Genomic DNA, 25474 nt, shown 5'->3' with positions numbered 1-25474 from the left:
GCTTCTGCTTCTGGGGAGGCCTCAGGAAACTTACAATCATGGCAGAAGGCAAAGGAGAGGCTGGCACATCTTACATGGTTGGAGCAGGAGGAAGAGAGAGCAACGCGGGAGGTGCCACACATTTTTAAACAACCAGATCTCACAAGAACTCACGACGGGGATGACAGCACCCAGGAGGATGGTGTTAAACCATGAGAAGCCACCCCCACAAGAACTCACATAGGGACGACAGCACCCAGGAGGATGGTGTCAGACCATGAGAAGCCAACCCCACAAGAACTCACGATAGGGATGACAGCACCCAGGAGGATGGTGTGAGACCATAAGGAGCCACCTCCATGGCCCTGTCACCTCCCACCAGGCCCACCTCCAGCATTGGGGATTACCTTTCAACATGAGATTTGGGTGGGGACACAGAGCCCAACCATATCACCCCCTCCTGTCTTGAAATGCCAGGGCTCCCTCCCCAGCCCCACCTGAAGGCAAAGTTCTAGAACCACCCTGAGACAATGAGCCAGTTGCTTCAAATTGAGCATGAAACCACTCAGCGTCCAGAGCAAAGGAAATACATAAAGTGCCTAAATTGGCCTAATGGGATCTTAGTAATCAAATATATCATCATCTGTACATTTTCCATATTACGGTGGGAACACTTTGTAGCCAGCCTAGCTCCCCTCCTGTTCCTGTTAGAATTTTGTTCTTAGAATAAATTTACATCCGTCCCCTGGTGCCAGGGTTCAGGCTGTGTTGCACTTTTCATTATAAGCCATGTTTACCGAAGGTTTACAACTTGGCTGTAAAAACCGGTTGGCACCGAAACTGGAAACTTGGCATGAACAAATTGGCATAAACATTGGCCGGAAGCAGTTTTTCTATCTAAATCTGAGAAAAACAGACTAGGTCATTTTCAAGTTATTTGTGTTATTCATGCATAAATAAAATGAAGCTTGACAGCTTCAAACAGTTGTTTGCTTTTGCGCTCTTCAAAAATAGATTGGATCCAAGAAAAGTAACATTTGGTAAACAAATACTCCATGACGGACTGTAGAAAAAACGAAAGGAAAAAAGAGTGGAGTGCAGTACATTAAATAGAAAGGGAAGATGGAAGCGTTTCAAAAGTCACTTTGTGTCAGAAAGTGGAGTCAGGAAAGGTATTATTAGGTGATTATGTGGTTTCTAGAGGCAAATTTAGAGATTCCTCTGGACTCTAAATTAATAGTGTAAACAAGCAGAGAGCAAGCTTTCAAATAACATAATTTATTTTTTTGAGATCTGAAGCACATCTAAACAACACAAGCTAACTAAATAGATGATGTTCAGGCAAGGAAGAACCAAGTGATTTCTAAATATGTTTTCTAACAGCAGTAGGCTTGGCCTGTAAAACAAACAAACAAAAAGTTTAAAAACTGGGGGAAGAAAAAAACAAAATATAAATGATATAGTAAAACATCTTGGTTGAAAACAATAGCATCAATGTCTGATCTTTCCGCTCATCTATGTATCGAATTAAGTTTAGAAATGCAATTTGTGGGTTTTGAATTCCAGCAGCCAGTAGCAGCTCTCTAAAGAGGGAAAGTGATGGTGCCGACCGCTCCCCAAAGAATGCCTTTTTGGCAAATTTAAAAGTCAGCCTTGACGTCAAGTGACTCCTGAGAAGGCTCCGCATTGAGTTCTGTGAAGCGTGGGCAGATCGGACTTTCACTCTCAAAACTCTGTCGGGGGATGACTACAGACACAGTTTAGGGCAAAATAAAACCAAGCCAATTCAAACAGAAAGTAAAAATAAGTCAGAGAGGAAAGAATGTGGAGGATGGACCAGGCCTGCTGGGGCCCGCGCTCTGTAACAAGCGCCCCTTGGGGAAGGAGTTGTCTCACAGGCTTGCTTTTTATTGATGTTCCTTCCTAACGGTTGTTAGCAGCAGTTAAATCCATATGGTTGTTCTTGGCAAAATGGATCTTGTCCTCTATTTGTAAAGTCTTGTTTCACCAAACTATAGGCAGAGTAATAGAATTCTATCATTGGAAGTGGAAGAATTTTCCACCTGGGGATTTCACCTGAATGGCACCTTTGGCCATTACCTGGCTCTTAGGATCAGCATGGTTCCATCCACGTGGTAATTCAAGCTAACAATTATCTTGGGACACATCTCAAAACTATTAACTCCCCAGAATGATCCACAGTGTTGATTCTCGGGTGGATGCTCCCAGTGTTTCCTCCTTCAGAGAAAGCTATGAAATCACTTGTTCACCCTAATATCAAGATTGTTCCAGCTGGTTGCAGTGGCTCACGCCTGTAATCCCAGCACTTTGGGAGGCTGAGGTGGGCGGATCACATGAGGCCAGGAGTTCGAGAGTAGCCTGGGCAACATGGCGAAACCTGGTCTCTACTAAAAATACAAAAATTAGCTCAGCATGGTGGTGCCTGCCTGTAATCCCAGCTGCTCAGGAGGCTGTGACAGGAGAATCGCTTGAACCCAGGAGGCAGAGGTCAAAGTGAGCCGAGATCGCGCCAGCCTGGATGACAGAGCAAGACCCTGTTTCAAAAAAAGAAAAAAAAGAAAAGATTGTTCCGATAGCAACTATAGCAATGCCATGTCATTGAGGATTCCAACTTGTCATGTGCTTCCTGGATAGGGTTTTACACCCTAGAGAGTTCTCTTCCACATTGAGAAGTATGAATAAACACATGCAATGACTCCATTGACACTATTCTTTAGAGATGAAGAAATTAAAGACCTAGGGCACACTATCGGGGTTCCACAGACCAGAGACAAAACAACTCAGCAATTAACAGGCCTCACAGAAACGAGTTTGGGAACCCCTCAGCATTTCTGCAGAATTTGCAGTTATTTCTAAGTATATTCCCTCCAGGTGCACGGTTAGCTAATCTTACCAGTCCCATAGATTCCTTGAGGGACTGGTTTACATCTTATTTTTGTATTCAGTTCCTAACACGGTGCCTGACACTCCAGGGCTTCAGCAAAATACTGATGCTATGATATGGGTAAGCGTTTCTATCTATAAATAGAGAGAGAGAGAGAGAGAGAGGTGTTTTGGTTTTGTTTTCTTTTAACAGACTGGGGAAGAAAAATGTTTGGAGGCTAAAATAAAATTTGCACCAATCAGCGTAAATGAGTGAGTTGTCTGGAAATGCCACATTGTAGATCTGAAATGCCATTATCTACAGGGAGCAGGTGCCCTCAATTGGGGACTTGATACAGTTTGGCCGTGTCCTCACCCAAATATCATCTTGAATTGTAGCTCCCATAATTCCCATGTGTTTTGAGAAGGACCTGTTGGGAGATAATTAAGTGATGGGGCCAGTTTCCCCCATAATGTTTTTGTTTGGACACTATGATCAGAGAGAACTGATGACTTCTACAACAGTCTGCTCTTCAGCTCAATATTCCACCACCAACAGACCTTGGGTTTTGGGGAGTTAATGGGGCACTCAGATGATTGCTGATGGAAACTCCAGGGGAAGTAAGGGTGGGGAAGAAGTGTAGCTTGTAAAAGATTTCCCATCTTTTAGTCCTAAACTTTCAACTGGGGGAAGAATATTACATTTTAAATCCAACCCACAGAAAGGAAAATTCATCAAAATCTCCAAGCCGAATGGGATCTGCGACCCTTTCCATGAAGACTGATCAGATAGGCCTGGCGCAGCTTTCTGCTCTGCTCCCAAGAGCTGTGCAATGTGTGGTCCTTGGGCCATTCCTGCTGCATAAATGTGCATTCTTTGTATTGGAACCCAGAGTGTAGGAACTAGTCGCTTTGACAGAGAATGAGGCTGGCCCTGCATCCATGTTAGACATTGCTATCCTTTTCTTAAGGTTTCTTCATTGTTACATAGTACATCTTGGGAAAGGAAACAGAAAGCTAACTGCAGTGTTAATTCTTGGAACTGGCATGAAAACGAAGAGGAGAAGTGACACAGCGAAAGAGCTTACGTTTGGGAATCAAAGACCTGGATTCATTTTCTACCTCTGTACTTGCAGGATTTGTGCAAGATTTTGACCAATTACTTAACGCATCTGAGCCCCAAGGATCCTGACCATAAAATGAGGCTACTTCTTCCTACCTCTGGACAATGTACGGATTGGCTGGGGGGCAGAAGAAATTGCCCTGGATGTCCTCTTTCCTTTCTGGTGCCTATCTTCCCCACCAGCAAACTCGGCGGCCTGGACCTCCAAATGTATCCTGACTCCGAGCTGGGTGATTTCTTTTTCTTCCGAGCCACAACCATCTCCATTCTGGACGGCATCCATGTGCTCCGAAAGCTCTCCTGCTTCCTCTCAGACTTCCCAACCATCTCTTCCCCAGGGCACCCGTGGGATCCAACGGCATGAACCTCATCACCTTATGCCTACTGAAGGCCCTGCTTGTCTTCCTAATGCTCTGCAGACAAAAGAACCCATGAACACCCAAGCAGAGGCTGGGCCCTGCCCGGTTCTGGCCTCCCTCACCCCTCCCCTCTGCCCATGCCCCCCCACCCTCCCCTCTGCCCATGCCCCCCCACCCCTCCCCTCTGCCCATGCCCCCCGTCACCCCTCCCCTCTGCCCATGCCCTGCCCATCCTGACCTTACGCCTTCAACTGCCCTGAAACACACCAGGTGCCCTCTGGCCCCCTCTGGCGCCAGCTTCCCCTGCCCCCAGCCCTTGCCACAGGCCTCCCATGCCTGGCGCTCCCAATGTTTACTTCTCATGTAGAATTTCTCCTCCTTGGAGACGTGAGATTGAGTCTTAATCTTTCAAACCAAAGGAGCCTCCACACCTCTCTCCCCACCAAATGCTTTATCCATTTCCTTTGTATCACTCACCTGAATTCTGTTTGTATTTGTCAGTGCCCCCAGAATGAAAGTGCAGGGCCCTACATGAGCCCAGAAGCTGCTCTTCCCCGAAAGTCTGGGAGAGAAGAGGCTCCTGGAGGTTTGTGAAGCCCACCTGCATGGCAGGTGTGACAGCCGGCAGGGCCCCTCCTGCACCCCGTCCCTGTGCCCCGCCTGGTGCCATGAAACCACTGGACAACTATGAGACGATTGAGCTCGTTATTATAAAATCATCACGTTTTTCTACTATAAACTTATAGTAATATTCCAGTTTAGACAGAATGAAGAGCATCCAGAGGAACTGAACAATGAGCTCCTGAGATGGACCGTGATTCCTGCGTGTGGCTTGGGTGTCGCATGGCAAGATGTGCACACGAGCAAGCGACGGTGAATTGTGAACGCTTCTGGCAAGTGCTCTGGCTGGACTGTATTTTCAGAGCTTTGTAAATCACCTAATTCCTTTTGCATAAGAACATTAATGATGCGAGGAGGCCAGTTACATTTTCAGTTATACTTTGTTGCATTTTAGAGGGAAATTATCTATCATGGTTAAATTTGCAAAGCTGGGTATTGCCAAAGGTCATGGGGATTTGTGCCCCACAGCAGGAAAGGCACACAGTAGAGCCAGCTCTTTACTGCCTGTCTGAAGGGTGACTTGGTCTGTTACCTGGTTTTGGTGGCATCCCCAGGTTCACAGCCAGTCTGCCTCACTTCCCCTTACTGGGTGCGTGGCCTGTGGACAGAGGGTGAAGACACAGATGTGGAAGTGATGGAATCTCAGCCTCGAGACACCCTGCACCAATGCCGGACAGGATGAGAGAGTTGTAGGCAGGAACGAGTCCAGCCAGGGCTGCGGGAATGACTCTCAGGATGTGACACAGCTTTCCATATCACAAAATACAGGAGAAAGCTGTGCTTTGGGTGGTACAATTTACGAGGGGTCCAATCTGTTAAATGTAGAATGCTTCAGTCTTATTTCTTGGCTGCTTTCTCACAAGAAGAGCTCAAGGATCGCCACCTGGCAAAGCTAAGACAGACGTTCATCTTCCCTCTCATCTGAGCCGGCCGGCCCAGGAGGAGCGAGTGAAGTGGCATGACTCCGAGTGCTTGGAGGAAAGGGCCAGGCATGCTGCTGGGGGCTCCACAATTGAACCCAAAACCTACTCTCCTCATCTGTTTTGTGTTGCTTAGAATACCTGGACCTGGGTAATTGAGAAGAAATAAAATGTATTTCTTATGGTTATGGAGGCTGAGAAGTCCAAGATGTGAAGGGCCACATCTGTTGAGGGCCTTTTTCTTGGTGGAGCCCCTCTCTGCAGAGTTCCAAGATGGCGCATTGCATCACATGGCGAGGGGCTTGAGAGTGTTAATGTGTTAGCTCTGGTCTCTCTTCCTCTTCTCACACAGCCACCAGTTCCCCACTCATGATAGCCCATTAATCTATTAGCCCATGAAAGTATTAATCCACTGGCCCAGTGCAGTGGCTCATGCCTGTAATCCCAGCACTTTGGGAGGCCGAGCTGGGCAGATTGCCTGAGGTCAGGAGTTCGAGACCAGCCGGGCCAACATGGTAAAACCTCTTCTCTACTAAAAGCACAAAAATTAGCCAGGCGTAGTGGTGCACGCCTGTAGTCCCGGCTACTCTGGCGGCTGAGACAGGATAATTGCTTGAAACTGGGAGGTGGAGATTGCAGTGAGCCGAGATCACATCACTGCACTCCAACCTGGGCGATAGAGCAAGACCCCATCAGAAAGAAAGAAAGAAAGAAAGAAAGAAAGAAAGAAAGAAAGAAAGAAAGAAAGAAAGAAAGAAAGAAAGAAAGGAAGGAAGGAAGGAAGGAAGGAAGGAAGGAAGGAAGGAAGGAAGGAAGGAAGGAAGGAAGGAAGGAAGGGAAAGAAATGGAGAAAAAAAAGAAAAGTATTAATCCACTCATGAGAACAGAGCCCTCTTGACCTAATCACCTCTCAAAGGCCCCACTTCTAAATACTGTGGCCCTGGGGATTGAATGTCAACATGAGTTTTGGAGGGGACAAATATTCAAGCCACAGCGCCTTCCTGCTTCTTCTCCCACCCGCCATTCCTTGGCAGGTGTATCAGGCTCATAACTCATGGCTCAGTTTCTTCAGGCTGTTTCTTCAAGCTCTGATGCCACCCCCTTCCAGCTCAGCCTCCAGGGCTCTTGCCAAATGTCATAGGTGCAAGGGCATCTTTCCTGAGCCTCCCCTGGAATGGAGGCATTAGCCTCCTTTTAGCCTCCAAGCATGTTGCTGCCTTTGGATTCCGGCCCTCATGAGATTCTCACCGTTCCTCGGCCACCCTGGTTACGCAGGCCTTCCTAGCATATAGTGTCAGGAAAAGCGAGGCTTGATACCAAGCCTAGCACTCATAGATGCCATCCCCCAGCTCCCAAAGGCTCTCCCCATCCCAAGTACTCGAAGACTTCCTTTCAGTCATGGAATTTCCTTCTACAACAGCTTCCTCCTGCACTGTGGATATAGGTCATGTTTACACATTTCCTTCTGCAGGCTTGTAAATGTCCTGTGCACAAAAACAGGCCTCATTTGGTTCCTTACAGCACCTAGGATGATATTTAGTGCATAATTGTGTTCAATAAAAGTTAGTTGAGAAAATATGAAATGAAGTAGGGGAAGAGCTCATTCTCTTTAGGACTAAGCCGATATGTCTTTCCTACCCCAAGAAAGAAATATTTTTGCCAAACTATTTCAACATGAATTAATCAATCATGATTCATAATTTATGCAGTTCTTCCTAGATAGATCCAATCAAATCAAAGTCTCATTTCTTTTAATGTAGCAGGACACAGTTGACACCAGTATGCTGCACCTAAGGAAAGGCAAATGGTCTGGAGGGAATACATGCACAGACATAATTTTTTTTTTTTAAACGGAGTCTTGCTCTATTGCCCAGGCTGGAGTGCAGTGGCAGGATCTCGGCTCCCTGCAAACTCCGCCTCCCGGGTTCACGCCATTCTCCTGCCTCAGCCTCCAGAGTAGCTGGGACTACAGGAGCCACCTGCCACCACGCCCAGCTAATTTTTTGTATTTTTAGTAGAGATGGGGTTTCACCATGTTAGCCAGGGTGGTCTCGATCTCCTGACCTCGTGATCCGCCTGCCTCGGCCTCCCAAAGTGCTGGGATTACAGGCGTGAGCCACTGCGCCTGGCCCAGACATGATTTTTAAAATGAGCCTTCTACTCTTTCTCACCCCTCCCTTTCTCCTTCTCCTGGTCCCAGCTCATTCCACCCAACAAGTTGACTTTCTATCAAACAGTCTGTCACTTGAAAGGAGGCAGGATTTCTATATTTACTTGGGAATCTACAGACTATAAAAAGCCCTTTATTTTGACTGGTAGCAAGCCATTTGCTATATTTATAATGCATGATTGCCATTTTTCTGCAGGTATTCTTTTCTCCATTTAGAGTAACATCCTTCAGAACTCCAGTGTCTTATCTTTGTGTCATCCAGAGCGCCACGTAGAGTGACTGTGAAGTCAACAGTTGGGTAAATTGCATTCATCAATTTTAAATGTCATTGTGATATATCTTTTCAATATGTGTAATAACATATAAAATACACATGGAATCTAGTTACAGTCAAGTTGACAGTCTCTCATGGGGACAATTTAAGTATTAAAAGCTATAAATATATATTTACTAGTCCTTTATTTTGCTGTTGTGTATTTTGGTAGTTTCTCTTACAATTCTCTTAATAACTGCTTTAGTCTCTGAGCATAATAAGTGTCATATATTTATTTATATATTTGTATTTTTTCATTGTAAACTCAGTTAAAACATAAAGGAATCAGGGCAAAAGCAAGACAAAACTTTTTCTGTTGAAATGCAGATAAGCAGATAACATAAACCCAGACCAAAATGCACCTTATATGCTATTATGTGCACAGTTAATGCTGCTTGCACGGGATGTGGAACAGCCAGGCACTGGGCCAGCTCTATGAAGATGGGTGGTTATCACCAGATATTGCTGGACTTAAAATAGTATAGTGTGTCTGTGTGTGTGTGCGTGCGTGTGTGTAAGTGTGCACATACAGGCTGAGGTATGTGTTTATTTTTCTGGAAAAATAATCAAGAAAAAGCAACAATTTTGGGGGAAGAATGTGATGAAGGGAAAAGTTTATTTTATAGCTGTCTAGTCTGCTTAAATGTTCTATGTGAAGGTCACTTATTGTTAACCATGAAAAAAAGTCAGTCCAAGTTATCTTGGTGCAATCAAAATCACACTTCTTTACACGCCTCTGTATTTTAAAATCAACTAAAATTGATGGTGTTTTGGGGGGTTTTGTTTTGAGACAGAGTCTTGCTCTGTCTCCCAGGGTGGAGTGCAGTGGCACCATCTTGGCTCATTGAAGCTTCTACCTCCTGGGTTCAAATGATTCTTCTGCCTCCGCCTCCCGAGTAGCTGGGACTACAAGCGAGTGCCACTACGCCTAGCTAATTTTTGTATTTTTAGTAGAGATGGGTTTTTGCCATGTTGGCCAGGCTGGTCTTGAACTCCTAACCTCAAGTGATCCTCTTGCCTTGGCCTCCTGAAGTGCTGGGATTTCAGGAGTGGGTCACCACACCCAGCCCTAAAAACAAGTTATTTTAAAATAACTAAGTTATGACCTATTTGGGGCTTTGATTAATAGATAAATATATGAATGTAGAGAATGTACTTAAATCTTACACATTCTTTTAACACCTTTCCTGTACTTTATAGGTTGGCATCGCTATTTCCACTGACTTGCTGAATATTCTGTAGCATGAAGTAGAGAGTTTCTTTGCAGATCTTCTATGCTGGTGCGGGATGTTCTACATTCTTCACCAGGTGCGGGCAGTGGGCAGGCCACCATGTGCTCTAAGCACCCAGCATAACTGAGCCAGCCCTGCTGCTGAAGGGAATCCCAGGAGACAAAAATCACCTGCTTTGGTTGCTGGCACCTTCATCACCCAGGAATTTTACAGTTAGTGTGCTAACTGCTCCGAAGCTTATCATCATCTTTACAGTCACCTACCACTTTACAGATGCGGGAAGGAAAATACGAGCTCAGACACACCGCCAGGTCAGGGAGGCGTCTTTGCTGACTGCCGTCAGAGGGCCCAGCTGCAGCTTTGCCAGGTGAATTTTCTTCTCACCCACAAGAATTTTAAAAAGCAAAGACGGAGATGCCCACATCTAGAAAAAGAGCTTGTTGACATGCACTCAGGGTTTTCGTGAGGAATGAATCGTGTTGGGAAATCCCTGCCTACTGGCCACCTTATCTATGCTCCCAGCACTGAAAACTCTGAGAATTTTCTTCCGCTGCCAATTCCAAGAATGTAGCACATTGCATCACGTCCATTCTCAAAACGAAGGCCCACCCGTGGGAATAATTTAGAATATGCTGCAATGGGAGGGGGGCGAGTTTGGGAGGGTAACGGTTTTGGGAAACTGTTATTTCTTTGAAAAAGATGATGTGATGTTTCAGGCAATTTTGGCAATGCATTACTATTTCAAATCTCTTTCCACCTAAATGTGCCAATGGTGCCTCAGACATATTAATTCTGGAGATCTTCTTTGTTAAAAGGAAGGTAAGCCATCCTATCTCGTTACCAAAACCACAAAGTTTTGGGATAAAAGGAGTGATGTAAAACAGCCCCAATGCCTCCTCTCCTAACAGCAGGGGTCATATCCACCTCCTCGTTATGATCGCTTTAAAATTACAGAATTCATGCAAAGTGCACAGAACAGCAGGTGGCCAATGCCTCTTTGTCTACCACAAAGAACAACACCAACAGTAACAGCCTCTTAGTGGTATGATCTGAGATTTGAAAGAGCTTGGGAAAAAAGACAGTTGTGGAGGGAATTGTGGATGATTCAAAGTGTCTTGCTCTACCACATTCCTCTCCATGTATCCATATTTATAATTATTCCGTGACACATTTCAGATGGTTTTCATTCATGAAGCTCTCTGCAATGTACACCACGTACGTAAGAATTATAAAGGAAGGAGAAGAACTCAGACTGGAGAGTATATATACATATATAATAAGATATATATGGCCAAGGCGGGCAGATCACAAGGTCAGGAGATCGAGACCATCCTGGCTAATATGGTGAAACCCTGTCTCTACTAAAAATACAAAAAAAAAAAAAAAATTAGCCAGGCATGGTGGCATTGCACCTGTAGTCCCAGCTACTCGGGAGGCTCAGGCAGGAGAATCACTTGAACCCGTGAGGTGGAGGTTTCAGTGAGTGGAGACCAGGTCAGTGCACTCCAGCCTGGGCAACAGAGTGAGACTCTGTCTCAAAAAAAAAAAGATATATAAAAATCATATATTTGTAATATATAATAATATAAAATAAGGAGATAAGTAATTCAAGTTGATAAAATGCATTTATTCCATTAAAAATATTATTATAATTAGGATTCAGTTTTTACTGATATCTCCATTGCTGGCACTAAAACAAACCTCTGGACCAGTATAAACTAATTCAGAATTATTTTTTGCTTGCTTCCTCAAAAGATGTCTTTTCCTCTTTCTGCATTGCAGCTGCCTGTCTCTGGGTTCCTGGCTCCTGTGTGGTGACAACCCCTTCCATCCCATGCCTCCCGGTGAATCCCAGCCTCTCCAGTTCTTAGTCGGCCTGGCCCTCGAACTCTGACTGCAAGCCTGTGGCTCTCCTGGATTCCACATTCTAGGACCTGGAGTTTCTTCACATTTCACTGGCTGAACCCCACAGCACTCCGTCCCCTTTTCATTGCTATTGCTCTACTGTTTCCTGTGGTCCCTGATTATGTTGGGCCTCTCAGAGGCTTCGGGTAGACTTTTCTACTAGACTGTGAGGCTGTGGCCATCTGCATGTACAACACAGGAAGGCCTTGTGGTGATTACAGTCATGAAAACTTTTGTCCCAGCACATAGGCTGAAGGATAATTTGACATGAGGGTGAGATTTGACTCCATTTAATTGGACATTAAATGAAACACATAGCATGCCTTTATTTGGTATTTAAATTATATGTTAGAGAAAATACTTTACATGCTGGGTGCAGTGGCTGACGTCTGTAATCCCAGCACCTTGTGAGGCCAAGGCGGGTGGATCAGTTGAGGTCAGGAGTTTGAGACCAGCCTGGTCAACATGGTGAAACTCCGTCTCCAATAAAAATACAAAACTGTCCAGGTGTGGTGGCACACACTTGTAATCCCAGCTACTCAGGAGGCTGAGGCAGGAGGATCACTTAAACCCGAGAGGTGGAGGTTGCAGTGAACTGAGATCATGCCACTGCACTCCAACCTGGATGACAGAGCAAGACTCTGTATCCAAAAAAAAAAAAAAAGAAGAAGAAGAAGAAAATACTGTATATTCTGTATATTCATAATATTTTTGTCTGACATTTGACATTTTGAGTATCTGGTATTATAATTCTATCATAAACAGTGGCCCAAGAACCTACATGGAACTTAGGAAGCTTTTTCCCCATAGAAATATAAAGTTATTTACAAATTAACCTTTAACATCCATCAGTTTGTACACTGGGAACTGATTTTACACAATTTTTACTCTGACCCACAGGTCAAAAGCGACATCATCACCTCCTGAAGGCAAGTCCACACTGGGCCCCAGGAGCTGAGCTGCTGCTTTTCCGGTTGACACATTTCCTCACATGCTTCCATCAATTCTTTCTGTGGTCACCACACTCCATGTTAATTACCACATCCTTTGCCTTGCCTGTGTTGGATTCTATTAGTGGCTCAGCCTAAACTCTAGACAAAATTGAGTCATCCCGCTCTACTCTGACATGGGATAGTCAAGAACAACTATGTGGAGACCGTATTTGGCGATTCCATGATATTAGAGACAGAAGCTTGGGCTGGGGGGAAGAACAAGCCATTTCAGCAGTGCCCTTCCCTTTCCTTCCTTGAGGAATTCTTATCAATGTGAGGTCATTAATACCTGAAAGACCAAGAATAAAATAGGGGTTTTGGAATGAGGTGCCAGGCAGGTAGGAAGAAAGGGTTGGAAATGTTGACACAAGCCCCACCCAGCTCATCAAGGGAGCACATTTGGGTTTGAGCCCAAAGCTCTCAACAGATGAAACCCCATCTCTACTAAAAGTACAAAAATTAGCCAGGCATGGTGGTGAGCGCCTGTAATCCCAGCTACTCAGGAGGCTGAGACAGGAGAATAACTTGAACCCGGGAGGCAGAGTTTGCAGTGAGCCAAGATGGCACCGGTGCAATCCAGCTTGGGTGACAAGAGCAAGACTCCGTCTCAAAATAAAGAAAAAAAGAAAGAAAGAAACCAGCTGGGCATGGTGGCTCAAACCTATAATTCCAACACTTTGAGAGGCTGAGGTGGGCAGGTTGTCTGAGGTCAGGGGTTTGAGACCAGCCTGGCCAACATGGTGAAATCCTATCTCTACTAAAAGAACAAAAAAATTAACTGAGCATGGTGGCATGCACCTGTAATCCCAACTACTCAGGAGGCTGAGGCAGGAGGATCACTTAAACCCGGAGGCAGAGATTGCAGAAAAAATAAATAAATAAATAAAAAGAAACCATTTCTGGAGTGGCCTCTCTCCATGCATCCCTCAAGAACCCACAGAAAATGATCAAGTTGGGGGTTCTGCATCCAAGCCCACCCTCTCAGCTTCTTGCTTTCTGCCTTAGATAAGACTAAAAGATCACAACATGGCAGTACTCCTTGGAAAATACTTAATAAATACATAGAAGTGTGCAGGGCAGGGCAGCCAAGGTCTGGACATCCCAAGTCTATGCCGTGAAATAGTTCAGAATAATCATTCCAAGACTCCCACAAACACACAGCAGAACTGAGATGAACACTGAGTTTCCACGATTGTTACAAACAACAACCAGCTGTGGGACATGGCTGGTTCCCTCTTCCTTACGGTGCAAGGGGCACCATTCCTCAGCCTTAGATATCAGCCTGTTATTCCAGCAGCCAAGCACTAGTGCTTCACCTCGGCAGGTGCACTTCCATACCCACAGGTCAGCCAGTGACCCAGCCTGGACAGATAAATGCCCTAAAATGGGTGAGGATTGGTAAGAAAGCAGGAAATCATCTTTTCTTGAGATCCAGGAACTTTGCAGGGGCTGCCTTTTCTACTACGCAGAGAAAGCATGTCTGAAGATGAAGCCAGCATTATGTGAAGCAGAATTGCAAGACACACACTGAAAAACAGAATTCCAGTAATATTATTGAGCTCCTGGGTTTGGCAGTACCTAAGGACAGCCCACTCCTGGGACTGCTACCTTACCTGAGCCCCTTTGGTTTATTCTAACATGATGACCGGGTGTGGTGGCTCACGCCTGTAATCCCAGCACTTTGGGAGGCCAAGGTGGGAGGAACACTTGAGGTCAGGAGCTTGAGACCAGTCTGGCCGATGTGACAAAACCCCATCTCTCTTAAAAGAAAAATACCCCCAAAAAAATATTAGCCAGGCATGGTTGTGAGTACCTGTAGTCTCAGCTACTCAGAAGGCTGAGGCAGGAGAATCACTTGAACCCGGGAGGTGGAGGTCGCAGTGAGCCGAGATCGTGCCACTACACTCCAGCCTGGGCAATGGACTCCATCTCAAAAAAAAAAAAAAAAAAAGCTGTATTTCTGCTACTTATCATTCTAAGATTCCTGACTACTGCTCCACAATTTTTTGAAATAGCATGTTTTAGAAATCATATAAAAACAAAAACTGCAGGCTATATTCACAAAGGGTCACTATCAATCATGCAAACTGCCTCTTATCCATTTATCCATCAGTTCTTAATTTCATGACAGAAAATTAATACCTTATTTTTGAAATAACTTTTAGTTCTTGTAAGGGTCTTCTAATTAAATCCTTATGCAATGCAACTGAAATAACACCAGAAACACGTGGATTTGTCAAGTAGTCAATGTGTATTTTTATAGCACTTTAATTTTTTTTGTACTCAGGCTGATAACGCTGGGTAGTTTTCTCTTTAAGCAAAAATAGCAGGTGAGAGCTGTGTACTAACAAGATGAAATCGCCATATCAGCCATCAGTTCTAGATGGCATGAATCCACACAGACCCTATGACTTAGAGAATATGAGGTGCCTAATTCAAGACGGGGGTTCATCTACATACAGAGAGGGAGGAGGTTATTCAGAAAAAGGAACATTTTCTTTTCTTCTCTTTTCTTTTCTTTCCTTTTCTTTTTTGAGATGGAGTTTCACTCTGGTCTCCCAGGTTGGAGTGCAATGGCGTAATCTTGGCTCACTGCAACCTCCACCGCCCAGGTTCAAGTGCCTCAGCCTGTCTCAGCCTCAGCCTCCCGAGTAGCTGGGACAACAAGCACACACCACCACGTCCAGCTAATTTTTGTATTTTCAGTAGAGACAGGGTTTCGCCATGTAGGCAAGGCTGGTCTCAAACTCCCGACCTCAGGTGATCCGCCCACCTAAGCCTCCCAAAGTTCTGGGATTACAGGCATTAGCCACTGTGCCCAGCCAGAAAGGAATGTTTCTAACCTATCCCAAGTGTATCCTTGTCTAGAGCAACACCAGAATATCATATCAAAGTGGAGGCTGCTGGGAAACATCCTTTCGGTAGGGAGGGGTTAATGGACGAGGATGGAACACGTCTCCTAAGGCAGCCAAAGAAATGGGGATGTGCAGGCACCAAAGCACAGGGCGTGTGTTACGTGATGGAGAAAAAGATCTTACTAGGTGAGAGGAAAAGAAAGAGGGAGTAAATATTTGTCACTGCTATTTAAAAATAAAATTAAAAAGAGTCCAGAAGCAATGGCTCACCCCTGTAATCCCAGCACTTTGGGAGGCCAAGGCGGGTGGATCACCTGAGGTCAGGAGTTCGAGACCAGACTGACCAACATAGCGAAACCCCGTCTCGACTAAAAATACAAAAATTAGCCAGATGTGGTGGTGGGTGCCTATAGTCCCAGCTAGTCGGGAGGCTGAGGCAGGAGAATCGTTTGAACCCGGGAGGCAGAGGTTGCAGTGAGTTGAGATTGTACCACTGCACTCCAGCCTAGGTGACAGAGAAAGACTCTTTCTCTAAATAAATAAATACTGAAAGTAGATTGCCTCTATGAATTAACTTGAATTATTTTGTCCAGCAAGGCATAATCCAATGATCCCAACAAATAATTCAGCACACATTACGATAGCTATGATCCAAATGTCAAAGGGGAAAGGTGGATTGAGGGAGAAAAATGGGTGTGTGTGAAATAGTTGACGTGTACAGTGGACTCAGCACTGAGAAACAAGAGGAAGAGAACTTAAGTGACCACATTTTCTTCTAGCCATCATCTCAAATAACATTTGGAAAACGATTTTAGTAATTTTACTTTTAAGATAAAGCAAAATACTGCTAAATGCCATTCTGTTTCAGTGGGTGTAAGCTTTACTTTATAAACAGAGTATATTGTTCTATATTCTGCACTCTGAAATTCTTAAATAGTTGATGTGTACAGTGGACTGCAGCACTGAGAAACAAGAGGAGAGAACTTACGATGACCACGTTTTCTTTCATCCATAATCTCAAATAACATTTGGAAAACAATTTTAGTAATTTTACTTTTAAGATAAAGTAAAATACTGCTAAATGCAATTCTGTTTCTGGTGGGTGTAAGCTTTACTTTATAAACAGAGTGTATTGTTCTATATTCTGCACTCTGAAATTCCTGCACTTGGTAATGAGAAGCCATCAGTGAAATTTGCAGCTAAATTAAACCCCTCAATCAGCTTCTGACTATGCCAGTTAGTCTATTATAAGAAAGTATTTCTTTTTAACATAATATTATATATATATGCTCTTGCAGATGTAGGTCTTAAAAGTTTGAGAAGTGCATGATTTATGCATAGTCTTTCAAAAGAGAAACTTTAGTAGCACTTTTGATTCATAAATGTTTTGTTTTTTTCCTAATACTTTAACAGTAGAACAGAGATATGGATCATCCCCAGTCATTTTTTTTCATTTATGTATACAGATGTAGGTAACCCCATTTATTTGGAAAGTGACTGTGTTGTATTTAGACAGAGCAAATTGGGAAACAGAAGTACTATAAATGTGAACTGCATGTGCTGTGTGTAGCTCCACTTTGGCATCCTAATAATAGCAGAGTTTCTGAAGCTTAGGTATATTCTTGGAGTGACCCAATTCACTCAATCACTTCCCAGATACAATGAGAGGCTACTGAAGGGTCCAGGACCCCGGCAGATTGGAAGCCTTTGTCCATATTTCAGAATATCTTTGTTCCAATAACAATAGGTGACATCCTGCATAATACAGGGCCATTTGTAAAACTGCCTACCAAAACTTCCTGTTTAGAACGATGCAGAGGGATTTCTGAAAAGCCTGGAGAGGTTAGTGAGAAAGGAAGCCAGACAACGCTGGGATTTCCAGGATTTTCTGTCCTTGAAGATGAAGCCAAATGTGCAGAGGTCAGGAGAAATGGTGCTATTTCAAAGGGGCAACCAACACCCATTGTTAGGACTGAGTTTACACCTCTGTGAGCTAACCAAAGCTATTTAGAAGACAGACATGCTTGTAACTCAGCTGGATCCAAGCACTTTTTTATAGTTCACCAAGCATCCTGCTTATCTTCTTCAAATTTGAAGCTAGGCATTGAGTTGGTCCTTTTCCAAAGACCATCACGTATGAAAATAAAACAAATTTTCCTCAAATTCTCAAAAATGTATTATTGCAGTTTAATTTTGGTGTTTAAAACTTGGCAAATAAAGAAAACAAAGCAATATATCTTCTTAACAAAGTATCACTAAACAACAAAGTTGGAGTCATCACAATTCCTGATTTAAAATTCTGTTACAAGGCTGGGTGCTGTGGCTAATGCCTTTAAGCCCAGCACTTTAGGAGGCCAAGGCAGACAGATTGCTTGAGTCCAGGGGTTTGAGACCAGCCTGGGAAACATGGTGAAATGCCATCTCTACCAAAAAACCACAAAAATTAGCTAGGTGTGGTATGTGCCTGTGGTCCCAGCTACTCTTCGGAGGCTGAGGTGGAAGACTGCTTAAGTGCTTGAGCCCGGGAAGTGGAGGTTGCAGTGCACCGCTGCACTCCAGCCCGGGTGACAGAGCAAGATCCTGTCTCAAAAAAATAAAAGAAATTATGTTACAAAGCAATAGTAATCAAAACAGTATGACACTGACATAAAAGCAGACACATAGCCGAGTGAAACAAAGGAGAGAGCCCAGAACTAAACCTAAATATATGTGGTCAACTAATTTTTGGCAAGGGAGCCAAAAAAACACAATGGGGAAAATATGGTGTCTTCAATAAAAGGTCCTGGAAAAACTGAATCTCTAAATGCAAAAGAATGAAATTGGACCCTTATCTTACACCATACTGAAAATAAATTCAAAACGATAAAATAGCTAAATATATGACTGGAAATCATAAAACTTTCAGAAAATAACATAGGGAAAACTTCTTGACATTGGCCCTGGAAATGATTTTTAAATATCACATAAAAGCTCAGGCTACAAAAGCAAAAATAAATAAATGGGACCACATTAAACTGAAAAGCTTCTGCACAGCAAAGAAAGCATTCATCAAAATGAAAGGACAACCTACACACTGAAAAAAAAAATTGCAAATTATATATTTGACAAAGAATCAATATCCAAAATTTATAAAGAATTCTTATAATTCAATAGCAGAAAAACAAATAACCCAATTTAGAAACAGGCAAGGGAGCTGAATCAACGTTTCTTCAGAAAAGACTTAAGAATGGCCAACAGGTATGTGAAAGGGTGCAAAACATCACTAATCATCAAGGAAATGCAAATTAAAACCACTATGAGATGGCTATTATGAAAAAGACAAGCGATAACAAATGTTGTCAAGGGTGTGGAGAAAAGAGAACCCTATTACGCTTTTGGTGTGTATGCAGATTGGTACAACCACTATTGAAAACAGTGTGGAGGTGCCTAAAAAACTTAAGAATAAAACTAACATATGAACAGCAGTTCCTCTTCTGGGAATATACCCAAAGCAGATGAACTCATCACTTCATAAAGACATCTACACTCCCTTGTTCATTACAGCATTATTCACAATGGCCAAGATATGAAATCCACCAAAGTGTCCATCAAGGGACAAATGGATAAAGAAAATGTGGTATAAATATATATGTAATGGAATATTATTCACTCTTAAAAAATAAGGATATGCTGTCATTTGCCACAACATGAATGGACCTAAAGGACATTGTGCTAAGTGAAGTAAGCCAAACACGGAAAGAAAAATGTTACATAATCTCACTTATATATGGAATATAAGGGAAAAAAACACAGAGAGATAGAGAGTAAAATTGAGATGACCAGTGGCTGGGTGGGGTTGGGAGAGGAAGTGGTGAAATATAGGCCAAAGAATACAAAATAGCAGGTATGTAGGATGAACAAGGAGTCTAGATATCTAATGTACAACATGAAGACCAAAGCTAAAAAGATTAGATTGTGTTAGTTTTTGTTAAGTAGATTTTAGCTGCTCTTATCACACAGAAAAAGTAACTATGTGAGATGATAGATGTGTTAATCTGCTTCACTATTGTAACTATTTTACTACTTATATGTATCCCATAATGTTGTGTTGTAAACTCAGATATACACAATAAAGTTTTAGTTGTTGTTGTTGTTTTCACACGAAGTCTCACTCTTGTTCCCCAGGCTGGAGTGCAATGGTGCGATCTTGGCTCACTGCAACTTCTGCCTCCCGAGTTCAAGCGATTCTCCTGCCTCAGCCTCCTGAGTAGCTGGGATTACAGGTGCCTGTCACCACGCCCGGCTAATTTTTATATTTTTAGTAGAGATGGGGTTTCACCATGTTGACCAGGCTGGTCTCGAACTCCTGACCTCAGGTTATCCACCCACTTCGGCTTCCCAAAGTGCTGGGATTACAAGTGTGACTCTCCATGCCTGGCCTAAAGTTTATTATTATTATTATTATTATTATTATTATTATTTTTAAAGTCCTTTACCCACTAAAAACAACAAAAAAATATCACTAGAGAGTAATGCATATTTCTGGGATTGGTTCATGAGACCAAAAGAGAGATCTGGCAAACATACAAATCACTCAGCCTTTTAAGCACCTAGCAAGCATTTACCTAACAGAGAGGCTCTGCACTGTGGGCCTTGGGTCTAAGCATGGGTTGCACGTGGTCTCATGTCACAGCAATTCCCTTACTGTGCAGCCATGAGATTTTGAGCAAGTTACTTTCTCTTCACCAAGCCTCTGCTTCCTCACTGGTAGGACAGAGACAACAAGAGCACCTTGTGTTTTGAAATGTAGGAAAAAACAGATATGCAGACCATGCAATGGTCCTACCCCCTGCAAATCCATAGAAGAGACACTCTTCGCAAGATTCTCTTGAGAATCGGGGGTTAAAGTGACAGCCCCACAACATCTTCGTATTTCCAACAGGGCTTTCCAAAGAGTTTCCAAATGGTCTAAATCCTTTTGGATACTGACATATATACCACAGTGGTGCTTGTCTCTGAGATCAGTCTTGGTTTATATGGAAAGAAAAGAGGTTTCACTTGAGGTTCATTGACGCAATACAAAAAAATGAAAAAAAAATTATTTGGCAACTTTTTTATTTTGAAGAAAGCATACAGTTAGGATGAAAGCCCAAGAACACAATAAAGCTATAAAGCGTATTCTCTAATAAAATAGTAGCTTAGATGTATTGAGCAGTTAGTCTAGGAAAGGCACTGCTATTCACTTTATATGCAATCACGTCTGTCATTCTCACACCAATCCTAAGAGGGAGAAGCCAATGTTATCTTAATATAACTAATGAGAAAACTGAGGCTGCCAAGCCATTGAGAATCTCACCTAACACCACTCAGCTTGTAAGTCAGAAATCAGCCTCGAAACCTAGACAGTATAACCCCAGCACTTGCAAACCTGCCCACCATCCCACCACACTCCATGGCCTAACAGGATGAACTGTGCCTCTCAGCAGAAATTTCATGGACCCTGGAACTGGAGCATGGAATCAAATCACATAGCTTTACCTGGGAGTTGGAGGGAGGCCTCCTGTAGCATCTAGGTCTCATAAAAATTTTATAAATATGGGCAGACCAGGGAGTATTTCATCAACTGGACCAGTATCAAGGCTTCCAAAGAGATCCCAGTATCATTCCTAACCAACCATGTGAACACGTGCATGTTACTAGCCTCTCTGAATCTCAGTAACTCACCTATAAAATGAGAATGAGAATATCTCACTCCTAGAGTCCTGGGAGATTGGAAGACATCATCTACATGAAATGCTTACAGAAAGCATGACAGGAAATGCTTTACATTGGTTTTTCTTGACAATTCTTGATCTTTAAGTTTGTTTTATTTTATTTTATTTATTTTTTGGAATGGAGTCTTGCTCTGTCACCCAGGCTGGAGTGCAGTGGCACCATCTCAGCTCACTGCAACCTCTACCTCCCAGGCTCAAGCGATTCTCGTGCCTCAGCGTCCCAAGTAGCTGGGATGACAAGCATGTGCCACCATATCTGGCTATTGATCTTTAACTTCTAAATCCCCACCAGCCTGGATAAACTCACATCACCATTTTGCCTAAATCTGCTAGTTTAATAGGCCCCAACTGTTAATACAAACAGAAAATAACTGCATGCTGTAGTATTGTCTGATTTCTGTGGTGTAAATTTGAAGCTACTAATGACTATGATAAGAATATTTACACCATGGAAATTGGCCAACACTACAAATCAGAGTTGTTTGTGTTATTTTGTTTCATTTTGTTTTGTTTTTTTTACCAAAATACCACTTTTCTTTTTTGTTTTTTAACTAGAACCTTCATCACCAGTTCATCTGTCAATTCATTAAATATTTATTGAGAAAATACTATTCCTGGACTTGAGCATAGACCAGTAAATAGGAGAGGTAGGGCTCTGCCTTCATGGAGCCTACATTTTAGTGAAAGGTGACAAATCATAAACAAGTAAATCAGTGAACTTGACAATTTCAAATTTCAATACAAGGTAAGAAGAAAATAAAGCAAGTGTAGAGTGTGACTTGGGGAGGAGAGGCCATCACTCGGGGGCTATAAGGAAAGGCACGTCTAAGAAGGTGACACTTGAATAGAGCAGAGGATGGCAGGGAGGAGGATGGCAGGGAGCCAGCCACAGGAAGAACCGGGGCAAGAAAATTCCCGGCAGGAGCACATGCATGCAGAGGCTCTGAGGCAGGAGGAGACATAGCTGAGCCTGGAAATGCAGCTAGCATGCCACTGCCAGATGAACACAGGGCATAGCTGTGTGACGATGCTGGCAAGACAGGAAGGAGAGCCCACCCTGACAGGGCCTTGCAGGCCACACCGGGTGGTGCTTGAGTGTCACCAGCAGGTGCATCTGCAGCTCCAGCTAAGGCTGGATGAGGCAAGTGCTGGAAGAGATGGGGGGCTTCCTAACATGCTCCCATCTGAACCCTTGCTCTCACCTAATAGAACCCTACTCTGTTCTCATTATCAGCTTTAGTGGTATCAAGTCCAGGACCAAGGCAAGCACTTCCCCAGATATAACACCAATAGAGGTTGTCCATGGAACCAAATGATCTCCAAACTGAATCAAATGAGCTAGGAGACAATTGATCTTGAACAAGAGACAAGAGAAGTTTGGATATCTGCTACCAGCAGGCACTCTGATACAATATTTTGATTATGAGGTCATGTTGTACAACAACCAATTTCTCTAACTTGACAGGTACCAGATGCACACACTTGAGTTGTGTTGATAGAAGCTCAGCTGTATCCAGTGACTTGTGACAGGTATCTGTTTCCTTCTTTATTTCAATTGCATCCTTGCCCTGTTTCAGAACCCCGTCTAATACCTACAATCATACTCAAGAAATACAACGTCGGGCAAGTGATTCAACACTGCTATTCCTCAGGTTCCTCATCTATAAAATGGGCTAATAATATAATAGTACATGCTGGAGTGGGCAGTATGAGGCCTGGATAAATTGATTTGATGCTTTTACAAGCCCTTAGAGCCATACCTGACACAGAGTTAAGGGTCCAATAAATATCAACTAATTAATTGATTGCTAATCAACACCTCTCCATCTGCTCTTTATGGAACTTTGCTCTAGAAAAAAAAAAAAAGCAATCACAGAATTCAGGAGCCTGAATAACCTGTACAGGCTGAGCACCTCAAGTCTGAAAATCTGACATCCAAAATGCTCCAAAATTTGAAATTTTTTGAATGCCGACATGAGGCTGAAAGGAAATTCTTATTTGGAGCATTTCAGATTTTGGATTTTTGAATTTGTGATGCTCAACTGATAAGTATAATGCAAATATTCCAAAATCCAAGATGATGCATTGGAATGAGGAAGAAAACAGATATCTGTCACAAATCACGGGACACAGCGGGGCTTTCATCAACCTGTCCCCCTACCTGCGGCTGTGAAAATCTGAAATGCTCCAAAAAAATTCATGATCCAAAACTCTTCTGGTCCTAAGCACTATGAATAAGGGATACTCAACCGTCCTATTGTTTAGCCACCTTCTGCCCTTGACTGGCGAAAGTGTCCAGGGCAGGGGACTAAGATTTTCTTCCGGAAGCTCCCTAGGAAGCTCTTCATGTAATTCTTATTTCCTCCTGCTCAGTCCTCTACAGAGAAGGGCAGAAGATCAAAGCCAGTTTGGTTTGCTCAAGGACAGGTGGTTCTTACTCTCTAGCAACACAGTCCCAGGGCCCTAAGCCTTCTGGTCAACCACTCTTCATTATTTTTGCCACTTTCTCCGGAAAAGTTGGGTTTCTTTGCATCCTTTTTGAAATATGTTACAGAGACATGAGCGCAACCCATGCCCTTGGACAGAGGTGTCCTGTCAAGAAGGCCCCATCTCTGGGTCTAGGCCCTGTGTGCCACTGAGGTCCCTGTAAAGCCCTTCTTTCCCAGCCCATCTGTCTGGGGTCACTTCTGGCCCCAAGCTCTTTTCTTCCAATATTTGTACCTAACAAGCCTTTTTTTTCTTGCATTTGTACTGTTTGAATTTCATCAAGCATATAATTGTGTTTGTTCCAATGGTAAAAATAATATTTTACTATTTACCTACTTTTTTCAAAGGGCATAGGTTCTCTAAATACTAAGTGGTAGGCAGTGTGCTGAGGGCTGGGGCTGCCAAGGTGAGTCAGAGAAACCCCTGAGTGTGCTGTGCTACCTGCCCGGTGCAGGAAACAGATATCCGAACAGACGATGGGAAAGAAGTGGGTTCTGTGAAGGTGAACAAATGTCCAGGAGGGACATGGGAGGCTGCCTCCAGGGCTGATCTAAACAGACCCCCACGCCTACCCCAGGTTTTCTGGGGGTTTTACTGCTGCTGCCGCTGATGTGAAAGGCGGTCCGTGATGTTGGTGCTCTCCCTTCCCCTCTCTTCCATCCTTCCCAGAACTCTGTGCCTTGGGCCAGGCAAGCTCAACCTTAAAGAGCGGAGGAAGAGGTGAGAAAGAATGAATGAATATTGGCCGGGTGCGGTGGCTCACGCCTGTAATCCCAGCACTTTGGGAGACCGAGGCTGGTGGGCCACCTGAGGTCAGGAGTTGGAGACCAGCCTGGCCAACATGGTGAAGCCCGTCTCTACTAAGAATACAAAAATTAGCCAGACATGATGGCACAGCCTGTAATCCCAGCTACTCAGGATTCTGAAGCAGGAGAATCGCTTGAACCCGGGAGGGAGGTGGAGGTTGCAGTGAGCCAAGATCGTGCCACTGCACTTCAGCCTGGGCAACAGAGCGAGACTGTCTGAAAAAAAAGAAAAAGAAAAAGAAAAAAAAGAATGAATGAATCTACTTCTTCTTCTGTTAAGACAAAAAGGCCCCTAATATTTTTCCAGAGGAAGAGATAGAAGAGGTAATAGCAGCTGAGAGCACCTAGAAAAAAACAGCACTTCCCAGCTGTAGCTCTCTCCAGTGAAAACGCTGAACTCAGAACAAGCATTGTGAAGTCGCAGGCGAGAGAGGCCAGCTCAGGAGGGCCCCCTGACCGCCCCAACAGACCCCACTCACAATCTCTGCTGCACATCTGCCCATGGAACAATGGCACTCCGAGCTCCTGCTCCAGATCCTCATCTTCAGCTAACAAATCAGAAAGATGAACGTCCACGGGCAACGCAGAAAACATCATAGAGATCCCTACCCAGGTTTGTCCTCTTGCTCAAAGAAAGAAGGTCGTGCATTCAGGACAAGTAACGACTTGCTGTAGCTTATCTCCTTCAATCCCAAATAGTTCTCATAGTTGGCTGAGAGAGGAGAGACCAGCCGCCTGTAATACCATCTATGATGCCTGCTCCCTTCTCTCCCTTCCAACATTTCTCCTTGACAACCCCACACCAAGAATAAACAGACGGGAAGGCAAAGATGAGCTACAAAGTTTTGAGCAACAAAGCAGGTCAAGTGGGGAATGAATACTCCCCAGCAAAACACAGAGGATCCGATTCAAGAGTTCATTGTGAATATAAGCACATAGGTTAAGCCTGCATACACCGAAAATAAAAATAACCATGCCTGATTTCAAGACTGAGACAGAAGAAAAAAATTACTCAGATAGATACGGTGGTCATCTTCACAGCCTTTTGAGCTAGCCAATATTCACTTCAATTGCCT

At 43.7% G+C, this 25474-nt stretch overlaps 1 long non-coding RNA gene across 5 annotated transcripts, besides 3 other annotated features; it reads right to left on the bottom strand.

Annotated features, from left to right (window-relative positions):
- Positions 1–1241: 1241 nt before the first annotated feature.
- On the bottom strand, positions 1242–25031 carry LINC02660 (long intergenic non-protein coding RNA 2660). 5 transcript variants are annotated; one of them, NR_183982.1, is made up of 4 exons: positions 24878–25031; positions 4082–4398; positions 2427–2534; positions 1242–1375 (listed from the first exon to the last, which is right to left on the bottom strand). It is a non-coding gene; the product is annotated as a long intergenic non-protein coding RNA 2660 (long non-coding RNA). The 5 variants fall into 5 exon arrangements; NR_183980.1 differs by having other exon boundaries at positions 1242–2534; NR_183983.1 differs by lacking the exon at positions 2427–2534.
- Positions 1531–1580: an enhancer, noted in NCBI's record as "active region_2920". NCBI's record gives its function as "activates an Ori minimal core promoter by ATAC-STARR-seq in GM12878 lymphoblastoid cells {active_cell/tissue: GM12878}" and the evidence as "EXISTENCE:reporter gene assay evidence [ECO:0000049][PMID:35858748]".
- Positions 1601–1650: an enhancer, noted in NCBI's record as "active region_2919". NCBI's record gives its function as "activates an Ori minimal core promoter by ATAC-STARR-seq in GM12878 lymphoblastoid cells {active_cell/tissue: GM12878}" and the evidence as "EXISTENCE:reporter gene assay evidence [ECO:0000049][PMID:35858748]".
- Positions 1691–1880: an enhancer, noted in NCBI's record as "active region_2918". NCBI's record gives its function as "activates an Ori minimal core promoter by ATAC-STARR-seq in GM12878 lymphoblastoid cells {active_cell/tissue: GM12878}" and the evidence as "EXISTENCE:reporter gene assay evidence [ECO:0000049][PMID:35858748]".
- Positions 25032–25474: the final 443 nt, after the last annotated feature.

This window comes from Homo sapiens, chromosome 10 (assembly GCF_000001405.40).
Source record: "Homo sapiens chromosome 10, GRCh38.p14 Primary Assembly".
NCBI classification, from domain to species: Eukaryota; Metazoa; Chordata; class Mammalia; order Primates; family Hominidae; genus Homo; species Homo sapiens.
The sequence above is the reverse complement of the archived record's forward strand: the minus strand, read 5'-3'. Positions and strand labels throughout refer to the sequence as shown.